This window comes from Homo sapiens, chromosome 17 (assembly GCF_000001405.40).
Source record: "Homo sapiens chromosome 17, GRCh38.p14 Primary Assembly".
Lineage (NCBI taxonomy): Eukaryota > Metazoa > Chordata > Mammalia > Primates > Hominidae > Homo > Homo sapiens.
Window position 1 is genome coordinate 38729947 of NC_000017.11, and position 21809 is coordinate 38751755.

Sequence of the window (21809 nt, forward strand, 5' to 3'; positions counted from 1 at the left end):
CAGGGTGCATCAGTCCGTGGGCCCCGGCCGTCGGGACCCTGACCCGTCCCGAGGTGACGCGACGCCCGCGCGCTTGCTCCCAGAAGCGCGGCCTAGGCTCGGCCAGCAACAGCGACTCCTGGGAGGGTCCTGCGCCCTCGGGGGTGCCCCAGGCGCCGAGGCTGCGCGCGGGGCGTTCCACCGCCAGGCCCGCCCGGCAGGGGGCGCCGGGACCGACCGCTCACGCCCGGCGTGCTGAGGAGGCCGCTGGGCGGGCGCCGTGGTCGGGCTTCCGTACCCCGCCCGCCCCTGGCCTCCGCCCTCGCAGAACGCCGCGGCGTCTTCCGGGGCCTGGCGGGCCGGGGACCGAGGGGGCGGGGAGGTGACCCGGCGGGGGCGGAGCCAGCGGGCGGGCGCGGCGCGGGAGGCGACCATGCGCGGCGCGGGGGCGATCCTGCGGCCGGCGGCGCGTGGTGCCCGGGTGAGCACCCCCGCCCTGCACCAGCCCCCGTCCCGAACCCCAGCCGGGCCCCTGCCAGCCCCCACTCCAGCCCCGGCCCGGCCGAGCATCCCGGAGCTCCCGGCCCGTCCCGCCGGTGTCTGGCTTGCCTCAGCTCACAGGCTTTTCCCGAGCGCCAGTCCCTGCCAGGACCTCCGCAGCCAGCACCTTCTCTTGCGACCTTTTTCTTACCCTCTCATTCCTCCCTCGCCCCTTCAGCCCTGTCACCTCCTCCTTCCTAGATGGCCTCCCGTGTCCTTCCCTTTCCACTGATTTTATTTTTCCGTTTCCAAACCACCGTCTTGTGATGCCTGCCATGCTTGCGTACCTTGCAGGACCTGAACCCGCGGCGGGACATCTCCTCCTGGCTGGTGAGTCCCCCCATCCTCCCCTCCTCCTCGCACAAGACCCCCAGGCACGGAGATCTCAAAGGCAGAAACAGGAAATGGAGCTAGGAAGAGTACAGGCCTATTCCCTGGAGTTAGCCCGTGGCTCTCAGGGAGGTGGGGCGGACCAGAGGGCACTGGGCAGGGCGCCAGTCTTCTGTACTGAGGACAGCAGCACCTAATGAACCAAGCCCCAGTGTGGGTGGCCCTGCCGTAGGCTGGAAGGATCCCAGCCCGCCTTCCCTAGCACGCAGGTGGGAGCCAGCGTTTGAGGGAAGGCAGCTGGACCCTGAAACCTGAGTGCCTGCATGGCTTTGAAATCTCCCTGTCCAAAGCTCACGGTCCTATGGTGTCCTGGGGAACGGTCTTGTTGGGTGGCATCAGATCAGCCTCTTGTAGAGGAAACCTGCCACACACACAGGCCAGTGGGAAACTAGGAAGGGTCGCAGGCCGGACGGTGCTTCCAGGGCTTGAGCTAACCCTGAGCCCCTCATCTTCCCTGGCCACAGGCCCAGTGGTTCCCTAGAACCCCAGCCAGGTCCGTGGTGGCCCTGAAGACCCCCATCAAGGTGGAGCTGGTGGCAGGGAAAACCTACAGGTGGTGTGTGTGTGGCCGCAGCAAGAAGCAGGTGAGACCCCTGTCTGCCTTCCTACTGATACCTCTGGCTAGGAACAGCCTGGTGTCTCCAGTGAGTTCCCACCCAGGATGATCTTATTCTTCCCACACATACCTGAGGGACACCAAGGGGGCTTGGGAACAAAAGGCCAGTGCCACCAGCAACCTTAAGCTCACTGCATCTACCCCTTGCAATGAAGCCAGAGAGACAGAAACTCAGTCACGCAGCCAGCCTGGTGTGGCCAGGCTTCCAGTGGGCTCTTCTGGAGCTGTTTGTTTCTCAGAGGTGCACTGCATGGCGAAGCTCACCTGGCCCTTCCCTGTCTCCTTCCAGGAAGCGCCTGGGCCACAGATTCCCAGGCCTTGAACCCCAAAAGCCTACAGCACCTGGTATTTCCTGGCGGTCTTCCATCCAAGTACTAACCAGGCCTGACCCTGCTTAGCTTCCGAGATCAGATGAGATTGGGCGCATTCAGGGTGGTATGGCCATAGACACATTGGGAAGAGATTCTGCTCAGGCTCTCCTGCCTCCAAAGCCTCCCAGCCTTCCCCTGTGCCCCTCTCTACTCTTCTTCCAGAAAACTCTTCCTTCTCAGTTTATGGGACTTCCTGGCCGCTTGCCACAGTTTGCTGTCTTCTCAGCTTCACTGCCTGCCCCACTTGCTTCCCCTTCTGCCCAGGAGCCTTTCGTCCCAGCAGGAACCTGCCCATATTGTTTGCCTCCCTGGCCCCTTTCCTTCCTGAGCAGAGCTCTGACTGGTATTCCTTCAAGCTATGTGGCATGGTGTCAGCAGCCCAGGGTCCTTGAGTCCCACTTAGGTCCATGCACCTCAAGCCCTCTAAGACAAGTTGCTGGTTTCTATTTGCACGCTTCTCTCATCTCCTTTCCATCCCACCCTAACTCCAATGTCAAGAGGCCTTGGTTCAGCCAGGCGAGGTGGCTCACCTGTAATCCCAGCACTTTGCGAGGCCAAGGCAGGAGGCTCTTTTGAGTCCAGGAGTTCAAGAACAGTCTGGGCAACAAAGTTGAGACCCCGCTTCTACAAATGCCTCTACCCCCACCAAAGACTAGCATGGAGGCAGGCCTGTGTTCCCAGCCATACTGGAGGCTGAGGAAGGAGGACCGCTTGACCCCAGGAGGTTGAGGCTACAGTGAGCCGTGTTTGCATCACTGCACTCCAGCCTGGGCAACAGAGTGAGACCCTGTCAAAAAAAAAGGCCTTGGCACCAGCTCTGCCTTCAGCTAGCAAGGCATGTCACCTTTCTGGGCCTGTTTCCATTACCCAGTCTCTGCTTGAGCGGCTTCTGGGATGGGGAGTACACTTCTGTGCCAGCCAGCCAGTTTGCTATGGGGCATCCCCTCCTCCTTGTAACCTTCACTCCCTGTCACGTGCCCAGTTATTCCCTGGAGCCAAACAAAATTGCTACCACAGTGTACTCTCCAGCCCAAAGAAGTTTTAACCCAGGAACATGGGAAGTAAATGAATTTCATGATCCAGTGGAGACTCAGAGACACACACACACACACACACACACACACACTCACACTCTATTAGTGTCCTGGCCCTCTGGGTGTCCCAGAGACTAATGCTATAAAGACTCTGTAAATACTTACCAGACACTTACTATAGGCAAAGTGCATCACGATCATATTTTATTTCCTCATACAACTCTACTCTTATCACCCCCACATTACAGATAAGAGAGGTCACTCAGTGAGCCTTGGCAGTCTTGCTCTGGAGCCTGTACCCTAACCACTGTGCTCCACTCCCCCTGAGCTCCTGCAGCCTGCCCTGCCCTGCCCCAGCAGGTGGGGTCAGGTCTTTGACTCCTGTCTTTCCCCCACCAGCCCTTCTGTGACGGCTCCCACTTCTTCCAACGCACTGGCCTATCTCCACTCAAGTTCAAGGCCCAAGAGACCCGCATGGTGGCACTCTGTACCTGCAAGGCCACTCAGAGGCCCCCGTACTGCGATGGCACCCACAGGAGTGAGCGCGTGCAGAAGGCAGAAGTGGGCTCCCCACTCTGAGGGGGCTGCTGCTGTCCAGCCACAGGTGGCCTTGGCTCCAGGCCTCTGACAGGCACCCCCTTCTGTGGGAAAGGAAACAGGTGCTGAGCCCAAGAGACTCTGGTACCCACTGCTGGCTCATGAAGGAAGAATTATTCCTTATAACCTAAAAGTCTCCAGTCTGGGGCAGGCGGGAGTGGGCCCTGGTTCAATGTTTGCTGATGGGGAAGATGGCAAAAACAAGCCTGCCCAACCAGACTGGTAGTCCTGCAGTCACTGCTATGAGGCCCACGTGCTGCCTCCTGCTCCAGATTTTAACCTCTCTGTGGGCTGGGGGCACCTGACCAGCCACAGGAGAGGGCAGTTCAGATTCATTCTGTATGGGGTCCCCAAGCCAGGCTAAACCCAGAGATGAGAGGCACCCTTCCCTTCTTCCCTCCACCCCAAAGAACTACAGGCTCCAGAAAGTATGCAGCATTTATTACAAAGCCAAGAGATACAGATGTCCCAGGGCAAAGGAGGGTACAGTCACAGGACCTCAGACACAGGACAAGGTGCAAACACAGACAAGCCCATCAGGGGGCTCCCAACCCCACACACCTACGCTATGATGGAATCTCGAGTCTCGACTCCCGACTCCTCTCAGATCTATGCACACTTGAGGAAATCTCGGTGGGCAGCGACCTGCCAGGGTCTGTCCCTAAGGAGGTGGTCCGCTGACCTCTCAAGGGGTGGGGGTGGGGTCAGAGCTTACAGGTTTCTGTCTTCTTGTGCTTTTAGATGCAGTTGCTCTGTCCTGACCAGGTGACCGGGCCTCAGCTGGGGGTGGAGGGGCAATTGGAAGGCTGTTTGCCTCTGGCAAAGTCTGGGATCTGTGCTTGTGTGAGGTTAACCCACCCCCACTTCCACTCTAGGCCCCAGGTGAGACTCCACCACCAGTCCTGCTAGTGAGGGTTCCCCGGTGAGGGTAAGGTTGGTGGGGGTGCAGCGCTTCACAATGCTAAAGCCTTAGCCCTCCTCCAAGAGCTGAGACCTCTCAGGGCCTGAATCTTCTTTTCCACAAGATAAATGATGCAAAGGCCACACACACAGGAAAAAAAAAAAAAGAGGCAGAACTATCTATTCTTTGCACAAAGTTTCCACTGCAAGAGGAGGAGGTGATGCAGGTGCCACCTCCACCCTGCACTTGCTCCTCAGAACCAGGGATAAACTGCATTTGTAAAAGGCACTGTTCTTAGCAATTTCTGGACATTCAACAACGTGGGGGGCGGCCACTGGTCAGAGGCAGGACAGCAGCCAAGATGGGGAGAGAAACGGGGAGAGAAAGAAACGATTCTAACTGACTCCTATATGCAGCCAGTTGGAATCATGCCTAAAGCTTTGGGTCTGAAGGGGCCCCCAACACACCACCTGCCTTGGGAAACAGCGAGGATGGTGCAGAGCTTTATTGAGACTCCAGTGGCCCATCCAGTTCATCTCCAGGCACCCCCAAAAACAGCAAATTACACAAGACCCCCCCCAAAAAAAATGAACACCATTTTCCACACATACACACACACATAAAGTTTGTTTCCTGTGGCATTTAAATTAATCTGGTTGGTCCATAGAAAATAAGTATGTATATTTGGTTTTTCCTATGTACATATATATATATATTTATTTATAAAACCCGCCCCCCACCCCCAAGGTGGGAAGAGCTGGGGAAAGTAGAAGAGGTGGAAAAAAGGGCCCAGAAAAAGTGGAAGGAGTGGAGAGGCTTGGCTGGAAGAAGGGAGAGGGTCCCTGGCCTCAAGTTAAGGGGGGCACGGGAGCGCCGTTGACAGTCATCTTGCGCCCCCTGCTGGTGGAGGATGGTGTCTGCAGGCAGTTCAAGCTACCCCCGTTGGCAGCTGTGGTGGCCCCACTGGCTGTCGAAGGGGGAGTGGGGGAGGTAGGGTGGGTGGCTGGAGGCCCATGGGAACTGGGAGAGCCATGGGATGGGGTGGCTGGGCTGGGCAGGGAGGAGGAGGTGGCTGGCAGGGTGGCAGGGCTGGGAGCCTTGTCGCTGACTGACTCACACTCGGACGCCCCGCTGGTGTTGGTGCCCTCGGAGGGGGTGGGCACCGTGGCTAGGGTGAGCCGCTTGCAGGCTGGCTGGACACGGTACTTGAGGGGGAGAGGCCCGTTCTGCGGGGAGAGTGGGGAGGAGAGACACAGGGAAGGGGAAGGTATCAGGAGACAGAGTCCAACTAAAGGGCCACCATCTCCACCCCACAGTGTCCAAACTCGAAAAAAGGGATGGGATGGGGCCTTGGAGAGGAGAGAGACAAGGATACAGGGTGCATGAAGACCCAGAGAGGGAAAAGGTCTAAGAGCAGAGACTCCGTCAGAGAGGAGACGGGAGAGAGGGAGGCAAACACACGGCAGCTGCCAGCACCTATTTCTGCCCCCAAATCTGGGGACACCGTCTGCCCAGGGAGCCTTGTCTCCTGAGCGGAAAGTCATCCGCAAGAGATGGCCCAGAGGCTGACCTGCTGTAGCAAGCCACCCTGGACATGCAGCTCATGGGATAAGGGACAGACTGTCTCTGATTACAGAAGGGTGGCCCATGTGGCCACAGACCTATGCCAGACCCTGTGGGAGTCTGCTCCCTGCCCGCCCCACTCGCTGGCTCACCCGCCGCCAGGGGTAGATGTAGGCGATGTCCATGAGGGTGTAGTATTCCTTCAGTGGCTCGTCCTCGTACAGAACCTCCACCTGGGGGAGGGAAGCGGAGGACACCATGACCCTGGCCAGCTCGGGGCTCCAGGCTGGGAATGTGGGGGACTGGGAGGCGGGGCAATGGGAAGGGTGGATTTACAGATGGTCCCTTATTTCTCTGGGATTTCACTGTGGATTTGACTTCCCTGTCAGAGTTGTTCCAACATAACTCCTGACCACCAGGCAGGAAGGGTTCCAGAGAAGTTTCCCCTATTGTTAGCAGCCTCTGGTCCCACCATGCACACAGCTGTCTGGGTCTCCTATCTCTGGCAGGTCGCCCAGAGGAGCTGAAAAGGCTCAGGGGGATCTCCTGGAACTCTGGCTCTCACCCCCAGCTGCAAAATGGAATCACCCAGGGAGCTTTAAAAAACACCAATGTGGCCGGGTGCGGTGGCTCATGCCTGTAATCCCAGCACTTTGGGAGGCCAAGGCGGGCGGATCACAAGGTCAGGAGATCGAGACCATCCTGGCTAACGTGGTGAAACCCCGTCTCTACTAAAAATACAAAAAATTAGCTGGGCGTGGTGGCGGGTGTCTGTAGTCCCAGCTACTCGGGAGGCTGAGGCAGGAGAATGGCGTGAACCCGGGAGGCGGAGCTTGCAGTGAGCGGAGATAGTGCCCCTGAACTCCAGCCTGGGCGACAGAGCGAGACTCCGTCTCAAAAAAAACAAAACAAAACAAAAAACAAACACCAATGCCTAGGCCAAGTGCGGTGGCTCAAGCCTATAATCCCAGAGCTTTGGGAGGCCGAGAATTCAAGACCAGCCAAACCAACATGGAGAAACCCCGTCTCTACTAAAAAAACAGAATTAGCCGGGTGTGGTGCCACATGCCTGTATCCCAGCTACTCGGGAGGCTAAGGTGGGAGAATCGCTTGAGCCCGGGGGGTCAGCAGAGGTTGCGGTGAGCCAAGATCCTGCCATTGCACTCCAGCCTGGGCAACAAGAGCAAGACTCTGTCTCAAAAAACAAACAAACAAACAAAAAACCAAAAACCCACCAATGCCTGGCTAGGTGCGGTGGCTCACACCTGTAATCCCAGAGCTTTGGGAGGCTGAAGCGGGTGGGTCACTTGAGGCCAGGAGTTGGAGACCAGCCTGGCCAACATGGTGAAACCCTGTCTATACTGAAAGTACAAAAATTAGCCACGTGTGGTGGCATGTACCTGTAGTCCCAGCTACTTGGGAGGCTGAGGCACAAGAATCACTTTAAACCAGGAGGTGGAGATTGCAGTGAGCCAAGATGATGCCACTGCACTCCAGCCTGCGTGACAAAGGGGAAACAAAAAAAGCAAAAACAAAAAATCAATGCCTGCATCTTACCCCCAGAAATTCTGACTTAACTGGTAAGATGTGAGTTAACTCATGAGATTTAACAGGCAACAGTTTAGGATCCACTGTCCTAGAGTGTGATCCATGGACCTTCAGTACCTAGGAGCTTGTTAGAAATATGGAATCTGGCCGGGTGCCGTGGCTCATGCCTGTAATCCCAGCACTTTGGGAGGCCAAGGTGGGGTGGATCACGAGGTCAGGAGTTTAAGACCAGCCTGGCCAACATGGTGAAACCCTGTCTCTACTAAAACTACAAAAATTAGCCAGGTGTGGTGGCAGGCGCCTGTAATCCCAGCTACTCGGGAGGCTGAGGCAGGAGAATCGCTTGAATCCGGTAGGCGGAGGTTGCAGTGAGCCGAGATCGCTCCACTGCACTCTAGCCTGGTGACAGAGCAAGACTCCATCTCAAAAAAAAAAAAAAAAAAGGAAATATGGAATCTACTAAATAAATCAGAATCTGCATTTTAACAAGATCTCCAGGGGACACATATACATTCAAGCTTGAAAAGCTATGTCCTGGAGCTCCGTTGGAATTTCAGACTAGCCTTCCCACAGCCAACCAGCCTGAGGAGGCCCTGCGTTTTTTGCACTCACCTCTGCCACAGTTCCGAGTGTGCAACATGCACACATACACACCGTCTTGGTCCCATGCACCACTGCACACTGACTTCAACACCCCTAGACTGCCCCCAATCTTGGTTTCAACCACCCTTCTGTTAACGCATGGGCTCAGTTAACCGCGCAAGCCCTGGGTGACACCTAGCCAGCTCTGACCAATGGCTGGGCTGCACAGACTGTCTGACACACCCATACACAGACACTCATTTTTTGAAAGGCCCAGGGACCCACCTTGTACTTGCTGGGCACATCCATCTTGTTGCGGAGAAACTTGGCAAGATGCATGACGGTCATGGCTGCTGGGCATCGCAGGAAGCGCACCCCTGTCTGCTGGGGCACAGGCACCCATGGTAGGGGATCCACCCCAGGCCACTCCCTCCCAGCCCACATTCCAGTCCTGGGCAGGCCCCAGCACTCACTTTCTCTTTGTCCCCATCCCCATTCTCCAGGGGGCCCTTCTTCTCGTCCCGGTCCCTGGGGACGGAGAAAGAATGAAGCTAGGAAGACCCAGGAAGAACCAGGAGACCCAGGAGGATGATCCCTCAATGGACACATCCAGAGAGGGTCCTGGGTGGGAGAAGGGGTTACCCAGACTAGGAACCCAGAAGGGGCCAGCCTGGGCCAGACTTGCCTGGCACCTTCGTAGAATTCGATGGAGAGGCTGACAATCTCATCATCACTCAGAGCCCCCTTCTCCTGCTCCAAGACCTCGCCGCGGTCCTCATTGGAGCCGTTGGGGACTGCAGAAGGAAAGAGCTCTCGGGTTGGCGGAGGATGTAGGAAGGGAGCCCGCCAAGGACCCAGAGATCATGAACTCAGCCAGGTGAGCCCAGCCACCTTCTGGAGAGGTGTGCGCGGAGGAGGTCAGAGGGTGAGGGGTAGCGCTACACACCTACATGGTCCCAGGCAAGACTGTGCACACACAAACAGACGCGAGCACACTCACCCTCCGTCAGGGGGTACGCTGCATAGAAATCCCGCCGCCGTTTCATCTCATCTGGAAGAAGGCAGCAGGATGAGGACAGGGCCATGGGTTGGGAAATGGGGTCAGTGGAGGAGGAATGGAGTGCAGATACCTTTAAAAAGCCCAGGGACCAATTTGTAGACAATGTCTTGAAGTGTTTTGTCAGACCTGGGGAAAAATGGACAGGGCTTATCAGCAATGCCTTCTCCAGAGCGCTCCGACCTCGCCCTGCTCTCCCAGCCAGGGTACCCCTCTTCCCACCCCCTTCCTGAGACCGGTGCCCAGGCATTAGGATCCCTGTGGGTCTGGTCTTTGCCCCTCTAGTATGCCTCACCCTGTGATGAGCCAAATGTAACCCCAAGGTCGGGGAGTAGCCCAGGTCCACACCCCATGCTTCTCCTACACCTGCCGCCTTGGCTGAAGGAAGCACGGAGCGTGGGAGGGATGGGGGAGGCTGACCCAGAGGATCGCGGGGACAGGAGGTGCCGTGCCAAGCCCACCTGATGCTCAGCAGCGGCCGGGTTTTATGGACCTGCACGTCACACATGGGGCAGTATTTGTTGGTCTCCAGGTAGCGCACGATGCAGGTTTTGCAGACTTGGGGGTGTGGAGAGAGAGAGGAGAGTCAGAGCCAACTTCCAACTCCAGGACCAGCCTCCCCGCCCTCTGCTCAGACTCAGATATCCCTCCTCCTCCACCCTGTCCCTGCTCCGAGGCCCAATGTGGCGATGTGTGTTCTGCACGTGTGGTACCTGTCCTTGTGCACTGTTGAGGGAAGCTGGATCTTGTGTGAGACAGGCCAGTGTCATGTACAATGCAGAAGGTCAGCCCTGAGTCCCAAGCTCCCCGATGGAGTGGGGGACAAAAGCCAGCGTGTTCAAGATGCCTCTGAGTCCCACCCCCCTGCTGCCAAGCCCACAGTGCAAACAAGGGGTGTCCGCGTCTTCAGGGCATAAAATTTCAGCCATTTCAAGAAAGAACTGAGATTTCAGATGTGAGTCCTTGAAATGAACTTCTGGGCTGATGCCCCGCGCCCAGTCGCCCCTGCGAGGTAGGCCCTCTGTGACCTAAGGATTCCCAGCAGACACGTGGGCGCGTTGGCTCTTTAGGGCAAGGGTTTGCGTGCTACCTTCCTCAGGCCGTGCCCGCCCCAATCTGGGCACAGAGGCTGCCCACCCTGAGCAGCTCCCCTCCCCCCAACTCACAGGAATGCAGGCACTCCACGATAGTGGTGGCGTCGATGAAGTACCCCCCGCAGAGGGCACACATGAGGTGGGGGTTCAGCTCTGTGATTTTGATCCGTGTAGTCCGATGCATGATTCCGGGGTCGGGGGTGGGGGGACTGGGGAGCGTTGCCCTGGGAAACGGAAGTGGAATCAGAAACCCAGAGTTGGCCGGGCGCGGTGGTTCACGCCTGTAATCCCAGCACTTTGGGAGGCCAAGGCGGGCGGATCACGAGGTCAGGAGATTGAGACCATCTTGACTAACATGGTGAAACCCCATCTCTACTAAAAATACGGAAAATCAGCCAGGCATGGTGGTGGGCACCTGTAGTCCCAGCTGCTTGGGAGGCTGAGGCAGGAGAATGTCGTGAACCCGGGAGGCGGAGCTTGCAGTGAGCCGAGATCATGCCACTGCACTCCAGCCTGGGCGACAGAGTGAGAGTCTGTCTCAAAAAAGAAAAGAAAAAAGAAACCCAGAGCCTCGGCAGCCCCTCTTACGCTTCACTCCACACCTCCCCCCACCAGCACATCTCTCCCTGAGCCCAAGACCCTTCTCTGCCTTCAGGGTGGGCTGGGGGTGTACATGTGGCTGGTTCTTTCTGGCCACCTCTGAGAGTTCATTGGGTGCCCAGGCTCTGGAGAGTCACACAGCCTTGAGCAACAAGGTTAGGCTTCCTCTGAGAAGCAGGAGGAAAGACTGAAGTTAGGCCACAGGATGTACTGCCCAACTCCCCAGAGAATGTGAGGAGGCAGGAAAATGGAAAAGAAGAGGGTTTTTAAAACTCTTTCCAATCCCAAGTCGGGCACAGTGGCTCATGTCTGTAATCCCAGCATTTTGGGAGGCTGTGGCAGGAGGATCCTCCTGCCTCACGTGATCCCTTGAGTCTGGGTGGTCGAGGCTACAGTGAGCCGTGATTATGCCACTGCACTCAAGCCTGGGCGACAGAGCGAGACTCTGTCTAAAAAAGAAAAACAAAAACAAAACTCTCCAATCCCAATCCGTATTCACTCACATGGTCCACATTTAAAGCATCCTAGGAACTAGGAGGAAACTTAGATAAAGCAGCCACTGGCCTGAAACTTCAAGGAATAGAAGAAGGGAAAAATAAGTTATCCTTACTCCCTCAACCCCTCCACCCAGGTGCAGGGCCTCAGACTTGATCCTTCCACTACGTCCCAGCCTCCTATCTACTCCATCCATTCACTCCTCCTCCAGGAAGTCTTCCCTGGAAACACCATGGACACAGGCTACCCTAAGTTAGAAGGCCGCAGCCATCACTTGTGCTTCTGGCTCTGCATCCAGCCTAAGCTTTGGAGCACCTCCCTCCTCTAAAGTCTGCCAAATATAGGCTGCTCCCAGAAAATCCACCATACGCTAATCATTTGGCTTCCAGGCCTGAGACTCAGGCAGGGAACAGAGAGGGTCCTTACATGCCTGAAGTTGGGAACGTGCAGCTCCAGCCCTAGCCCTGGACTCAAAGAGTTTAGGCAAAAAGGCTATACCCCTGCCACAGGAATCCCTGCCAGTGTCCCTGATGGACAGCCGCCTGCATGAGTGCTCCCTGTCCACAAGCACACAGGGTCCAGGAACCCCCCTTTCATACACAATGCAGGAATCCCCCCCACATGGTCACTGTTACTCTCCCACTGTCTCCTGCCCTGGTGACGCCTCTGCCACCTGTTCACAGGCTGTCCAGTGACAAACCACAGGCTCTCACAGATGCCTGCCAAAGCTGGGCAGAAAGTGCTCTGTCCCCAGACCGCCTGCTCGACACCAGCCAGGCCCGGGCAGGGTCCAGAGAGGTGAAAAGTCCGGCTCTGGATTGGCCACCGTGCTTCCTTCTTGGTAAAGAAATCAAACCAAACCTGCACCTGGAAGGGACAGCAGCCCTCCCTCCTCTTTCCCAGAGTAAAAGCCCAGGGGTGGGGCTTGGGAGGGTGGCCAAGCCCCAACAGCTCCTTTACAACATACTCACACCCTTCTCTCCTTTCCAGAAAGATTTCTAAAGCCACCACACTGAGTTTTCTAGGACAAGAAATTCACAGCCGGGATCAGCAGTTTCTATAGAGACCCCAGGATGAGTCTGGCCAGGACCCAGACAGCCAACAGAGGCTCAGGGAACCTGGCCAGAGACCGAAAGAGATGCAGAGACACAAAGGCCACATGTGGGAGAGACACCAGGTTACAGGGCAGACAGAGGGGCACAAGCCAGTCCTACAGCAAGCCCAGAGACATGGCGGAGAGGTGGCGGCCCCGGGGATCTGAGAAGGGAGAGGGGTTCCCACCCCACGCAGGGTGGCCTCGGCCAGCCCTCCCTGCATGGGTCCCCCCTTTGCAATTACGCAGAAAGCTGCTGGATACTCCACTGTTTGGTCGTTTCCATAGTAACCCTGTCCCTGGCAAGATGCCCAAATATTATTACAACCATCCAGAGGAGAGAACAATCCAAGTGGCTGTCTCTCTGAGCGTGTGTAATATCCATCCTGTGTACGTGCCATCTGGGCCTCCAAAGGTACTTCCTGTGACTGCCTGTCAGTCATATGTGTGTCCAGATGCATCTATGTGTGTGTGCAGAGCCACCAACAAACATGCTGATGCTGAGCTCTGATAATGCCTGGGGTCTCTGTTGCTGGGGTAAATCGCATGCCCTCATCTATCTCCCGTTCACCCTCATATACACATGCACGCGTACACACACATACACATGTAGGCTCCGCACACTTCACATCGTGCCCGAGCCACCTCATTCACACACTCGCTGTGTTTTCAAAGCAGACACTTGCTCTTTTTTTTTTTTTTTTGAGATAGTCTTGCTCTGTTGCCCAGGCTGAAGTACAGTGGTGCGATCTCGGCTCACTGCAGCCTCCGCCTACCGGGTTCAAGTGATTCTTGTGCCTCAGCCTTCTGAGTAGCTGGAATCACAGGTGCATGCCACCACACTGGCTAATTTTTTTTTTTTTTTTTTAAACAGAGATGGGGTTTCACCATGTCAGCCAGCCTTGAACTCCTGGCCTCAAGTGATCTGCCCGCCTCCACCTCCCAAAGTGTTGGGATTACAGGTGTGAGCCACCACACCCGGCTGACACTTGCTTTTAAGAAGAACCCCACAGCCGAGAGCCCCACACTGCGAATGGCTGTACCCCTCACCCAGTCACTTCCCCGAGCATTTCTGAGAATTCAGCCCCAGCCTGTTCCTCTGGACCCTTTCTAGACACGAGGCCCAAGGTGGTGCTGACTGAATGAAACGCTGCTCCTTCTCCAGTTTAAGAAAATAAGCCCCTTGCCACACTCCCTGCTCCCCTCATTCCATCCCCACAGGTTCTGACTGTTACCTCTGGGGCTGGGGGTGGGGAGAAGCACTGATTGGCTCCTCACCTGATTGCCATGGTTACCTGCAGGGCCCTGCCAGCAGGTGCCAAGAGCAATGTAAACAGGAGCTCTGACTCCCTAGAGCACCCTCTCCCCATCTCCCCACCCCAGGAGGCCCCAGGCCGCGAATTCCTGATACCCAGTTCCTCCCCCGCTGCACTGGCTGGTGTGCTGTGAGAAGGTGAGGGAAAAAGGGGTGATGGGTGACTGGAAATCCAGCTGTCATTACTTTGAGGAAGAGGCTGGGAGATGGGAAGAACTCGAGGGAGAAAGAGTGGGAGACACAGATCCCAAGAAACAGAAAGGGGAGGCCAAGCACCATTGGAAGTGGCCTCTGCAGAGCTCAGGTGCTTTAACAGGTCAGTCCCAACTGTGTGTCCACCCCTCCCTGGACTTGAGCACTGCCTCCACCTCTAACACCACTTTTCCCCAAGCAGAAGCCAAGCCCTTCAGTGTCTTCTGCCATTGTCTTTGCAAGGGTGTGTGTGACCCTTAGGCAGCCCACATTCTGGGCCCTGAGGCCCTGGGTCTGGCTATTGCTAATGTGGCAGGAAGGGAGCTTGCTCAGCACCCAGCATCCAACCCCGACCCCTCTTTGCCATTCAAGCCTGGCACTTGTCTTTCCCAATCCTTAAAGACCCCTGCTAAGAAAACACCACCATCTCTTTCTCTCTCTCTCTTTTTTTTTTCTTTTTGAGACGGAGTCTCACTCTGTCTCCTAGGCTGGAGTGCAGTGGCAAGATATCGGCTCACTGCAACCTCCGCCTCCTGGATTGAAGCGATTCTCCTGCCTCAACCTCCCAAGTAGCTGGGAATACAGGCGTGTGCCACCACACCTGGCTAATTTTTGTATTTTTAGTAGAGACAGGGTTTCACCATGTTGGCCAGGCTGGTTTCCAACTCCTGGCCTCAAGTGATCTGCCCGCCTCGGCCTCCCAAACTGCTGGGATTACAGGCATGAGCCACCACACCCAGACCCATCTCTCCATTTTAACCAGTGTCTTTCTGGAAGCCACCCTGCAATTTAGGCCTCTCTCACTTCTTCATGGTCCCCTGTGGAAACAGTGGGTCTCCCAGCCCCAAGGCCCCTGTGCTTCTCTGATGCCATAGCTCTCTCTGCTCTCCCTGCCTCCAAATGAAATCAGCCCCACTCCCTCACTAGAATGTCTCCAGGTCTTGGGAAAAGTCACTCAAGGTCACATCCAGATGTCTAGAACTGCAGAGGTGAAAGGGCTTTTAGAAAGCACCTTGTTCAGCTGGGCGTGGTGGCTCACACCTGTAATCCCAACACTTTGGGAGGCCAAGGCGGATGGATCATGAGGTCAGGAGTTCAAAACCAGGCTGGCAAAGATGGTGAAACCCCATCTCTACTAAAAATACATGGTGGCTCACGTCCGTAATCCCAGCACTTCGGGAGGCCAAGACGGGCGGATCATGAGGTCAGGAGATCGAGACCATCCTGGCTAACATGGTGAAACCCCGTCTCTACTAAAAATACAAAACATTAGTTGGGTGTGGTGGCACGCGCCTCTAGTCCCAGCTACTCGGGAGGCTGAGGCAGGAGAATCGCTTGAATCCAGGAGGCAGAGGTTGCAGTGAGCCGAGATTGCGCCACTGCACTCCAGCCTGGGCAACAGAGCGAGACTCTGTCTCAAACAAACAAACAAAAATACAAAAATTAGCGGAGCATGGTGGCAGGCGCCTGTAATCCCAGCTACTCAGGAGGCTGAGCCAGAGAATTGCTTGAACCTGGGAGGCAGAGGTTGCAGTGAGTGGAGATCGTGCCACTGCACTCCAAGCTGGGCCACAGAGTGAAAGAAACTCCATCTCAAAAAAAGAGAAAAAGAAAAAGAAGCACCTGTTCAATCCTTTCATTTTACAGATGAGCACACTCAGATGTGACTTGTCTAAGGTCACAAAGCAAAGCAGTGGCAGTCCTGTGACAAGAAAGTGCCTGACTCCCACCCCAGTGCTTTTAACATCCTGGCACCTGGCCAGGCTCCTCACTCATCTAAAGCAGTAATGCCCGGCTTCATCCCAGCAGGTGGGAGGGGAAAAGAGCAGCTCCCTGGAGTGGCGGGAAAACCACTCAGTGGGCCGCCGTCTGGGAGGGAGTCAGTCTGGCCCAAACATGACCATCAGCATGGACTCCTGCCTTGAGGCAGGAAGAGGAGGCACATGTTAATTGCCTTACCCCACTTCCTACACATAGGGAAACAGAGGCTGCAGGGAAGCACAGCCAGCCAGAGTACAGCATCAAGACTCAGACCAGGGGTTTTATGACTCTGTTCCTCTCCCAGCTTCGTGGGTCCAACTGCGCAAGCCCCTTGTATTTGTGTTTGGGGCCGTGAGGGTCTGCCTAGGGACACTGTGAACCTCCCAACTTTCCCCAATCCTTGACAATGGCACAAAGATCTGCTCCCCTGTCCCCACCATGCATTGAAAAGGGCCTCCTGAAGCTGGGCTTACTCAACCCTCCCTTCCTCCCTCTCCCACCTCTCAACTCCCTAAGATCAAACAAAGGCAAAACCCCAAAATATACACATTGCCAGATACACACACATACAGCAAGACACACCCCCCTCCACCTCTCACACTCACTACACACAAGGCCAGATAGACACGCCACAACCCTCCCCCACCCTGCGCCACACACACACACAATCACAGCCAGACCAGAGCCAGGCCCACCCTCGCTACATGCAGAAGCCATCCACATCCACCCCCCACCTAGAAGCACACAGCCTGACATCCCTGCCTGGAAACAGACCCTGCAAACACACACTAACCTTTTGTACGACCCTGGTCCACCCAGGGTAAATTATAACATAAGTCTTCCAGCAACAAAAGCAGTTCAGCTTCCAAAGTCCGCTCTGGGGACCAGAGGCTGGAGGGCTGCAGTGGGCATGTGACCTGCACAAAGCTGTACCCTCTTCCTGTTCGGGCTCTCTCCATTCCCATGACAACAGCTCCATCAACCAAGATCTCTCAGGCAAGGCCAGGGGCAGCAGAGTCCCCCTTCCTGCCCAACCCCCAAGACTTCAACTTGAACCCTACCTAGCTACACATGGTCTGGATCCTGGGGTTGGTTTCCTGCTTCATTCCAAAGTCAGTTCTAAAGCCTCAATCCCCCAACCCCCAACCAGGGGAGCCCGTGGGAAAACCTTCCCACCAAAAAGCTGCAACAGAGCTGGCTTTATGCTCCCAGTAATAACACCTTGGACCAGAGTGAAGGGGGGAGGGAGGAGAGAAATTAAAGAGTTTCAGGAACAGAAACTGCCAGAGGTCCCAGAGGAGGAGGCATCAGAACAGAGCGGGGAGGGGACAACCAGGAGACAGCCCTCCCCTCGAGACAGACCTCTGGGGAGACTGAGGCAGCATGGGGGACACTGAGGGACAAAGATCTCGGGAAGCGCTGGGTAACACTTCCACAATATTCACTGGCAAATCCACCCGCCTCCATGCCGCCTCCTCCCACCTCAAGCCAACCGGAGCGATTATGGGCAGACAGGGGCAGTGGGGGAGGGCGAGGGGCAGCCCGGGCCCACCGTGGAGACAGGCAGGGGGTGTCTGCTTGCCCGGGGGTCCCACGCCCTCAGAGCTAGCAGTAGGAGGGCGTGCGCAGGGTGGGGTGGCTGGGCGTCCCAGGGGAAGGGGGGCCAGTTTAGCAGATCCCCCTGCTTCCGCTGGCGATGGGAAATATTGCGATAAATTTCCCTCCATCCCCATTCTACCCCCAGCGCCCGGGCTTCCCCAGGAGCCCATGTCCAAGGATCAGGGACCCCAGTTACCGGGTGGCCGCTCCCACCTTCCCTAGAGCCAAACTTTCTGCGGGGCCCCGGGAGGGGTGTTCCGGAGGGAGGCTCTGCTGAGGTGGTTCGGGGAGGGGGCGGGGCGCCGGCGCCGGGACGGGGAGCGGGGACCGGCGGGGGGAGGTGCCCGAGAGGACCCGGACCCCGGCGGGGAAGGGCGCCCTCCCCCGGCCTCGCGGCCGCCCCAAAGCACATCCCCTTCTGCCGGCCCCAAGTCCCCGCGCGTCCACGGCGCCCCTGTGCCCACGGGAGAGCGACCCCCGCCCAGATGGAAAAGGGGGTAGACCGGGCAGAGCGAGAGGCGGCTTTGGCTCGTGGGGAGCGGCGACCCAACCCAGCGCGCATCCCGCAAGCCCTCCCGGCTGCCCCGGACCTTCCCCCTCGCTACCTCGGAACAGGGTCTGCCCGGGGGCTGCTGCACAAAGAGGTGGTGGTCGAGGGAGACGCCAAATCGTTAAGACGGGGAGCCCGTTTCGGCCATCTTGGAAGAGAGGAAAGGGAAAAAGGGACAGAAAAAAGGGAGAAAGAAAGGCGGACGGGGCAAGCTGGGCTAGGGACTGACGGGGCGCGGGGGGTGCGAAGGCAGGATCGGCTCAGAGCCTCCCCCTCCCATCGGGGCTTGCGAAGAACGGCCGGCCCCCATCCCAATCCCCAGAGGGTTACAGGCCAGGAGAGGGAAAGGCAGGGGGAGTCCGCTCCGCTTACCTGGGTTCGGGGTCCGGTGGGTCTCGGGGAGGGGGGGATGGGAGGGAGGGAGGGAAGGGAGGGGAGGGGGGCCGCAGCCGTGTCGCTCGCCCGGGCGGCGGGAGGGGAGAAACCTACGGTAAGAAAGGAGTTTGTGAAAGCGGCTTGGGGTGGGAGGGAGAGGGGAGGGGAGGGGACCGAGGGGGGAGGGGAGGGACCGGAGTGTGGGGGGGAGACAAAATGGCTTTTTTCCTCCAGACAAGAGTAGGTCCCGCCCACCACTCACCCACGTGACCTCATTCCTTCAGGATGCTGGCAGAGACGGGAAGAGGAGGGGGAGGCTGGCGCGGCCGCTCCCCGCCACCGGCTGCCGGGTCCCTAGCCAGGACGAGACCCCTCCCTTCCCATGCGGCCGCCCCGACCCCGGAGGATGGATTCTCTTATGTTACCTTCCGCAGTTAGCCCCCCTCCCTTCAAAATATGGGTTCCCCCCACTGACACTGTGATGCCCATCCCTAACTGGGGCGCCTGGAAAATGGTGAAATGGGGACTGGGCTGAAAGGTGGCTCGTGGTCCTCCACGCCCCGGCCTAGACCAAAGGGCGCGGGGCTCCGGCGGGGGACGCGACGCCTTCAGCCAGGCGTCCGAGCGATTTTCATTCACTCCAAGTGACACTCCCTTAAAATTAATAACTGCATCTGGGAGGGCGAGCGTGTCCTCCCCACTCCCCTTGCCCCCTCGGCGGCAGGGGCGCTGGCCCCGAAAAGCGGCGCACCAGGATCCAGCCTGGGCGCCTGGCAGGGAGCAATCGCGAGAGGGGAGTGGAGGTGCGGGGTGAGGCCGGGTGGGGGGCCTCGCCGCGGGGGGATCGGGTAGCTCTGGCGGAGGCTGCGCCCCCGGCGTGCTCGGGCAGAGAAGAACGGAGGCCCGCTGAGGATGGGAACTCAGGCTCCGGGTCTGGGACACAATAATCCGGCCGAAGGCGAGCGGCCACACTGGACTAGGAAACGAGGCGCCGGGCTGTAAGGTGGGCCCGCGCCTTTTCTCCTGCCTGGCGCTGATTCCCGCATTTTTCGCTCGCGCCCTGCGCTGCGCGCTGCCTGTGCGCCTCCCTGGGCGCGCGGGCGGGAGAGTCGGGCGAGCGCCAAGACGGCTGGGCCCGACTCCCACTGGCGCCCCGGCTCCACCTGGCGCTGGGGCTCCGGTCCGCAGTGGCTCCGGCAGGAGGGAGAGAACGAGGAGGGAGGCTTGGAAACGCCGGGAGTAGCGGTGAGGCCGACGCCGGGGAAGCGAATCGATACTGCGTTACTGGACGCCCGTGGGCCTCATGAGGATGGTCGATTCCCTCATTCGTTATTCACGATTTATTAGGGATGGCGGCCGCGTCTGTCCCTCCAGAGAGCTCGATTATCCATCCGGCCAGCAGCGCCATTAAGCGCACTGACGGTGGGAGGCTCGAGTTAGAAATTAGGATAGGAATCTTCGCCCAGTTTTGGAGCGCCTGCCTCCTCTTCCCTCGTTGCTCGCAGCCAAGGCAGCCGCGAAGCTGGGGGCCTCGGGTGAATGCTTTCGCCCTCTGGCCGGCGACCAGGAGACCTGCGCACACTGGCCGCCGAGTGACCCCAGCTCGAGCCTGCAGCCACACCAGCGGGACGGGGGCGGGGAGGAAGAGGAAGGGCGGAGAGACTTCCTTCCAGAGGGAGTGGTCCGAGAACCGGCGGGAGAAGGGCCAAGGGAAGATCCGGTCACCTGCTCCGGAGCCTGCAGGCGGAGAGGCGAGTAGTTCACCGGCCCCGGAGGAAAGGGGACCCTCCCACTGTTCCCAGGCAAATGTGTCGCCGGCATCCTGCACTCTGCCGGGGAAGACGCGCATCCACTCGCTCTGCAGGGAGGGGAACGCGGGAAGGACTCCCAGTCAGCCGCCCCTCTCTGGCTACAAGACCCCGAACAAGAGAAACCTGTAACAGGGGCTCTGCGGAGATCTGGATCCCACCCACCAACCACATGGGCACCTGGGGGGCTGCCCCTCGGGGCATTATCAGCCAGTGGGAAGGGGGTTGACGTTCCTCTGCGGCCCATGAATCCTGGAGGGCTGCCCGAGGGGCCACCGGGGTCCATCCACTTATTCTTCGGTTGTTAAGCGCCAGACAGGAGAGAACCGCTAGAGAGGAGTGTGCTAAGACCCTATTACCCACTAAAACTCCATTTTCATCTTTTGCGTCCTGGATGACTAGTCTCCACATTCCTGGCCTTTCTGGTTTCTCAGGAGAACCTTCTGACCCAACTCTTCCCACATCGAAAGAGTTTCCTAGTCTTTTGTTCTACTACTAGCCGACATAGAAAGCACCTGTCATGTGCCAGTGTCAAATACTGCGCTAGGAACTGGGAACTCAAGGCACAGGAGCCTGGCTTTTGCGCAGGGCGCTCACAGGCCGGTGGGTGCAAACCCTGAAGGACACACAGCCTGTCCCTTTAGCGCCCATCGCTTCTGGTGTGAGCTCCCGCTAAGGGTGGGTGAGTACTGGGGTGGGCTTCCAGAAGAGGCCTCCTTTGAGCCGAATCTGCAGAGACCAAGTGTCTATGAGAACTGCTCAAGAGTGCTTTGCACATTCTCCTCCACAAAGGTCGAGGCTCCCACTGCGCCCAGGAATGCGCCTCGTCAGACATTAGGCGCCCCTTGATTTTGTGTTTGCATCTCACGCGGTCCTCTAGCTGACAAGTGCATCAGAAGAGTCACAGTGGCTGTCACAAGCCAGAGACTCGCAGAGGACAGGAACGCGGGAAATCTAGGCAATTACCTCCAGCATATACCAAGAGCTATTGCGAGGATCAGATCCCTTTAAAAATGGTGACGAGACAGGAGAGGGCGGCTCCTCTAGAGCTTTCCGGAACGTCTTTACCTCTGTGTCCTTTATACCTTTTATCTCCCCCAAACAAGGTCCTTAGTCAGTTTCTCCTTCTATTTCCCCATCTTCCTCCCCCACCTCCCTGTGTAGTTCTAGGGGGAAAAAATGTGTTGTTTTCCTTTTTTTCTGATGCTTCTAATATTAAATGCGTCTATTTTCCCACTCTCCATTGTCTTGAGGTCTTCCCCTACCCACCCTGCCTAGTTCTGTCACGTCCCTTCTTTCCCTGTATCACAACAATGTTCTCCCTTTCTCACCTTTGTTTCTCTTCATACTTGTTTCTCTCTCTGTGTCTCTCTCATTCTCTTCCCTTCCAAATGTAGTATTTGGAGACTGTAATATCGATTGAGGCAGACAATAGAAAACTGTCGAACCTCCACTGTAAATTCATTCTTAATCCTATGAAAAAATGCATCCTGAAACGTGTTGCATGCACAGTGAGACAAAAACCTGTGTCTTTAGGTTTCCTGCGATCTAGCTTGGAGGCGGGTTGGGGGGGTGTGGAGGGAAGTGCTGGAGAAATTATCCCATTATTGACTGAGCAGCAAAGAATTTTCAAGAACAGTGATTCTCCTAGAAAAAGTATTGCTGCTGCCATTTCAATGCAAAATTTGGCTTTTGAGTAAAAGGCTTAGGTTTTTATCTTCCGGGGAGAAAAAAAAAACCCAAAAGACA

At 57.2% G+C, this 21809-nt stretch overlaps 2 protein-coding genes, 1 long non-coding RNA gene and 1 pseudogene across 8 annotated transcripts, besides 6 other annotated features; 2 read left to right on the top strand and 2 right to left on the bottom strand.

Moving 5' to 3' along the window:
- Positions 1 to 394: 394 nt before the first annotated feature.
- CISD3 (CDGSH iron sulfur domain 3) lies at positions 395 to 5659 on the top strand. Its single transcript, NM_001136498.2, has 4 exons — positions 395 to 460; positions 814 to 849; positions 1374 to 1493; positions 3330 to 5659. Exons 1-4 carry the CDS (start codon positions 413 to 415, stop codon positions 3507 to 3509), a joined length of 384 nt encoding a protein of 127 aa, NP_001129970.1. The 5' UTR covers positions 395 to 412; the 3' UTR covers positions 3510 to 5659.
- Positions 1191 to 1728: an enhancer, noted in NCBI's record as "H3K4me1 hESC enhancer chr17:36887390-36887927 (GRCh37/hg19 assembly coordinates)". NCBI's record gives its function as "activates a minimal SCP1, AML or CMV promoter by ChIP-STARR-seq in primed H9 embryonic stem cells {active_cell/tissue: H9 hESC(primed)}" and the evidence as "EXISTENCE:reporter gene assay evidence [ECO:0000049][PMID:30033119]".
- Positions 1856 to 1974, bottom strand: RNA5SP440 (RNA, 5S ribosomal pseudogene 440; annotated as a pseudogene).
- PCGF2 (polycomb group ring finger 2) lies at positions 3952 to 19846 on the bottom strand. 6 transcript variants are annotated; one of them, XM_017025016.2, is made up of 12 exons: positions 18515 to 19846; positions 18250 to 18362; positions 17933 to 18025; positions 10345 to 10496; positions 9640 to 9736; positions 9252 to 9307; positions 9122 to 9172; positions 8807 to 8915; positions 8595 to 8649; positions 8407 to 8502; positions 6144 to 6224; positions 3952 to 5654 (listed from the first exon to the last, which is right to left on the bottom strand). In XM_017025016.2, exons 4-12 carry the CDS (start codon positions 10454 to 10456, stop codon positions 5277 to 5279), a joined length of 1035 nt encoding a protein of 344 aa, XP_016880505.1. In that variant the 5' UTR covers positions 10457 to 10496; positions 17933 to 18025; positions 18250 to 18362; positions 18515 to 19846; the 3' UTR covers positions 3952 to 5276. The 6 variants fall into 6 exon arrangements, with proteins under 6 accessions (XP_016880505.1, XP_047292616.1, XP_047292617.1 ...); XM_047436660.1 differs by lacking the exon at positions 17933 to 18025; XM_047436661.1 differs by having other exon boundaries at positions 17933 to 18362.
- Positions 4977 to 5504: an enhancer, noted in NCBI's record as "H3K27ac-H3K4me1 hESC enhancer chr17:36891176-36891703 (GRCh37/hg19 assembly coordinates)". NCBI's record gives its function as "activates a minimal SCP1, AML or CMV promoter by ChIP-STARR-seq in primed H9 embryonic stem cells {active_cell/tissue: H9 hESC(primed)}" and the evidence as "EXISTENCE:reporter gene assay evidence [ECO:0000049][PMID:30033119]".
- Positions 12166 to 13066: an enhancer, noted in NCBI's record as "H3K27ac-H3K4me1 hESC enhancer chr17:36898365-36899265 (GRCh37/hg19 assembly coordinates)". NCBI's record gives its function as "activates a minimal SCP1, AML or CMV promoter by ChIP-STARR-seq in primed H9 embryonic stem cells {active_cell/tissue: H9 hESC(primed)}" and the evidence as "EXISTENCE:reporter gene assay evidence [ECO:0000049][PMID:30033119]".
- Positions 15429 to 16194: an enhancer, noted in NCBI's record as "H3K4me1 hESC enhancer chr17:36901628-36902393 (GRCh37/hg19 assembly coordinates)". NCBI's record gives its function as "activates a minimal SCP1, AML or CMV promoter by ChIP-STARR-seq in primed H9 embryonic stem cells {active_cell/tissue: H9 hESC(primed)}" and the evidence as "EXISTENCE:reporter gene assay evidence [ECO:0000049][PMID:30033119]".
- Positions 16195 to 16959: an enhancer, noted in NCBI's record as "H3K4me1 hESC enhancer chr17:36902394-36903158 (GRCh37/hg19 assembly coordinates)". NCBI's record gives its function as "activates a minimal SCP1, AML or CMV promoter by ChIP-STARR-seq in primed H9 embryonic stem cells {active_cell/tissue: H9 hESC(primed)}" and the evidence as "EXISTENCE:reporter gene assay evidence [ECO:0000049][PMID:30033119]".
- Positions 17988 to 18523: an enhancer, noted in NCBI's record as "NANOG-H3K27ac-H3K4me1 hESC enhancer chr17:36904187-36904722 (GRCh37/hg19 assembly coordinates)". NCBI's record gives its function as "activates a minimal SCP1, AML or CMV promoter by ChIP-STARR-seq in primed H9 embryonic stem cells {active_cell/tissue: H9 hESC(primed)}" and the evidence as "EXISTENCE:reporter gene assay evidence [ECO:0000049][PMID:30033119]".
- Positions 19088 to 21806, top strand: LOC100287808 (uncharacterized). The gene has a single exon (NR_149004.1). It is a non-coding gene; the product is annotated as an uncharacterized LOC100287808 (long non-coding RNA).
- Positions 21807 to 21809: the final 3 nt, after the last annotated feature.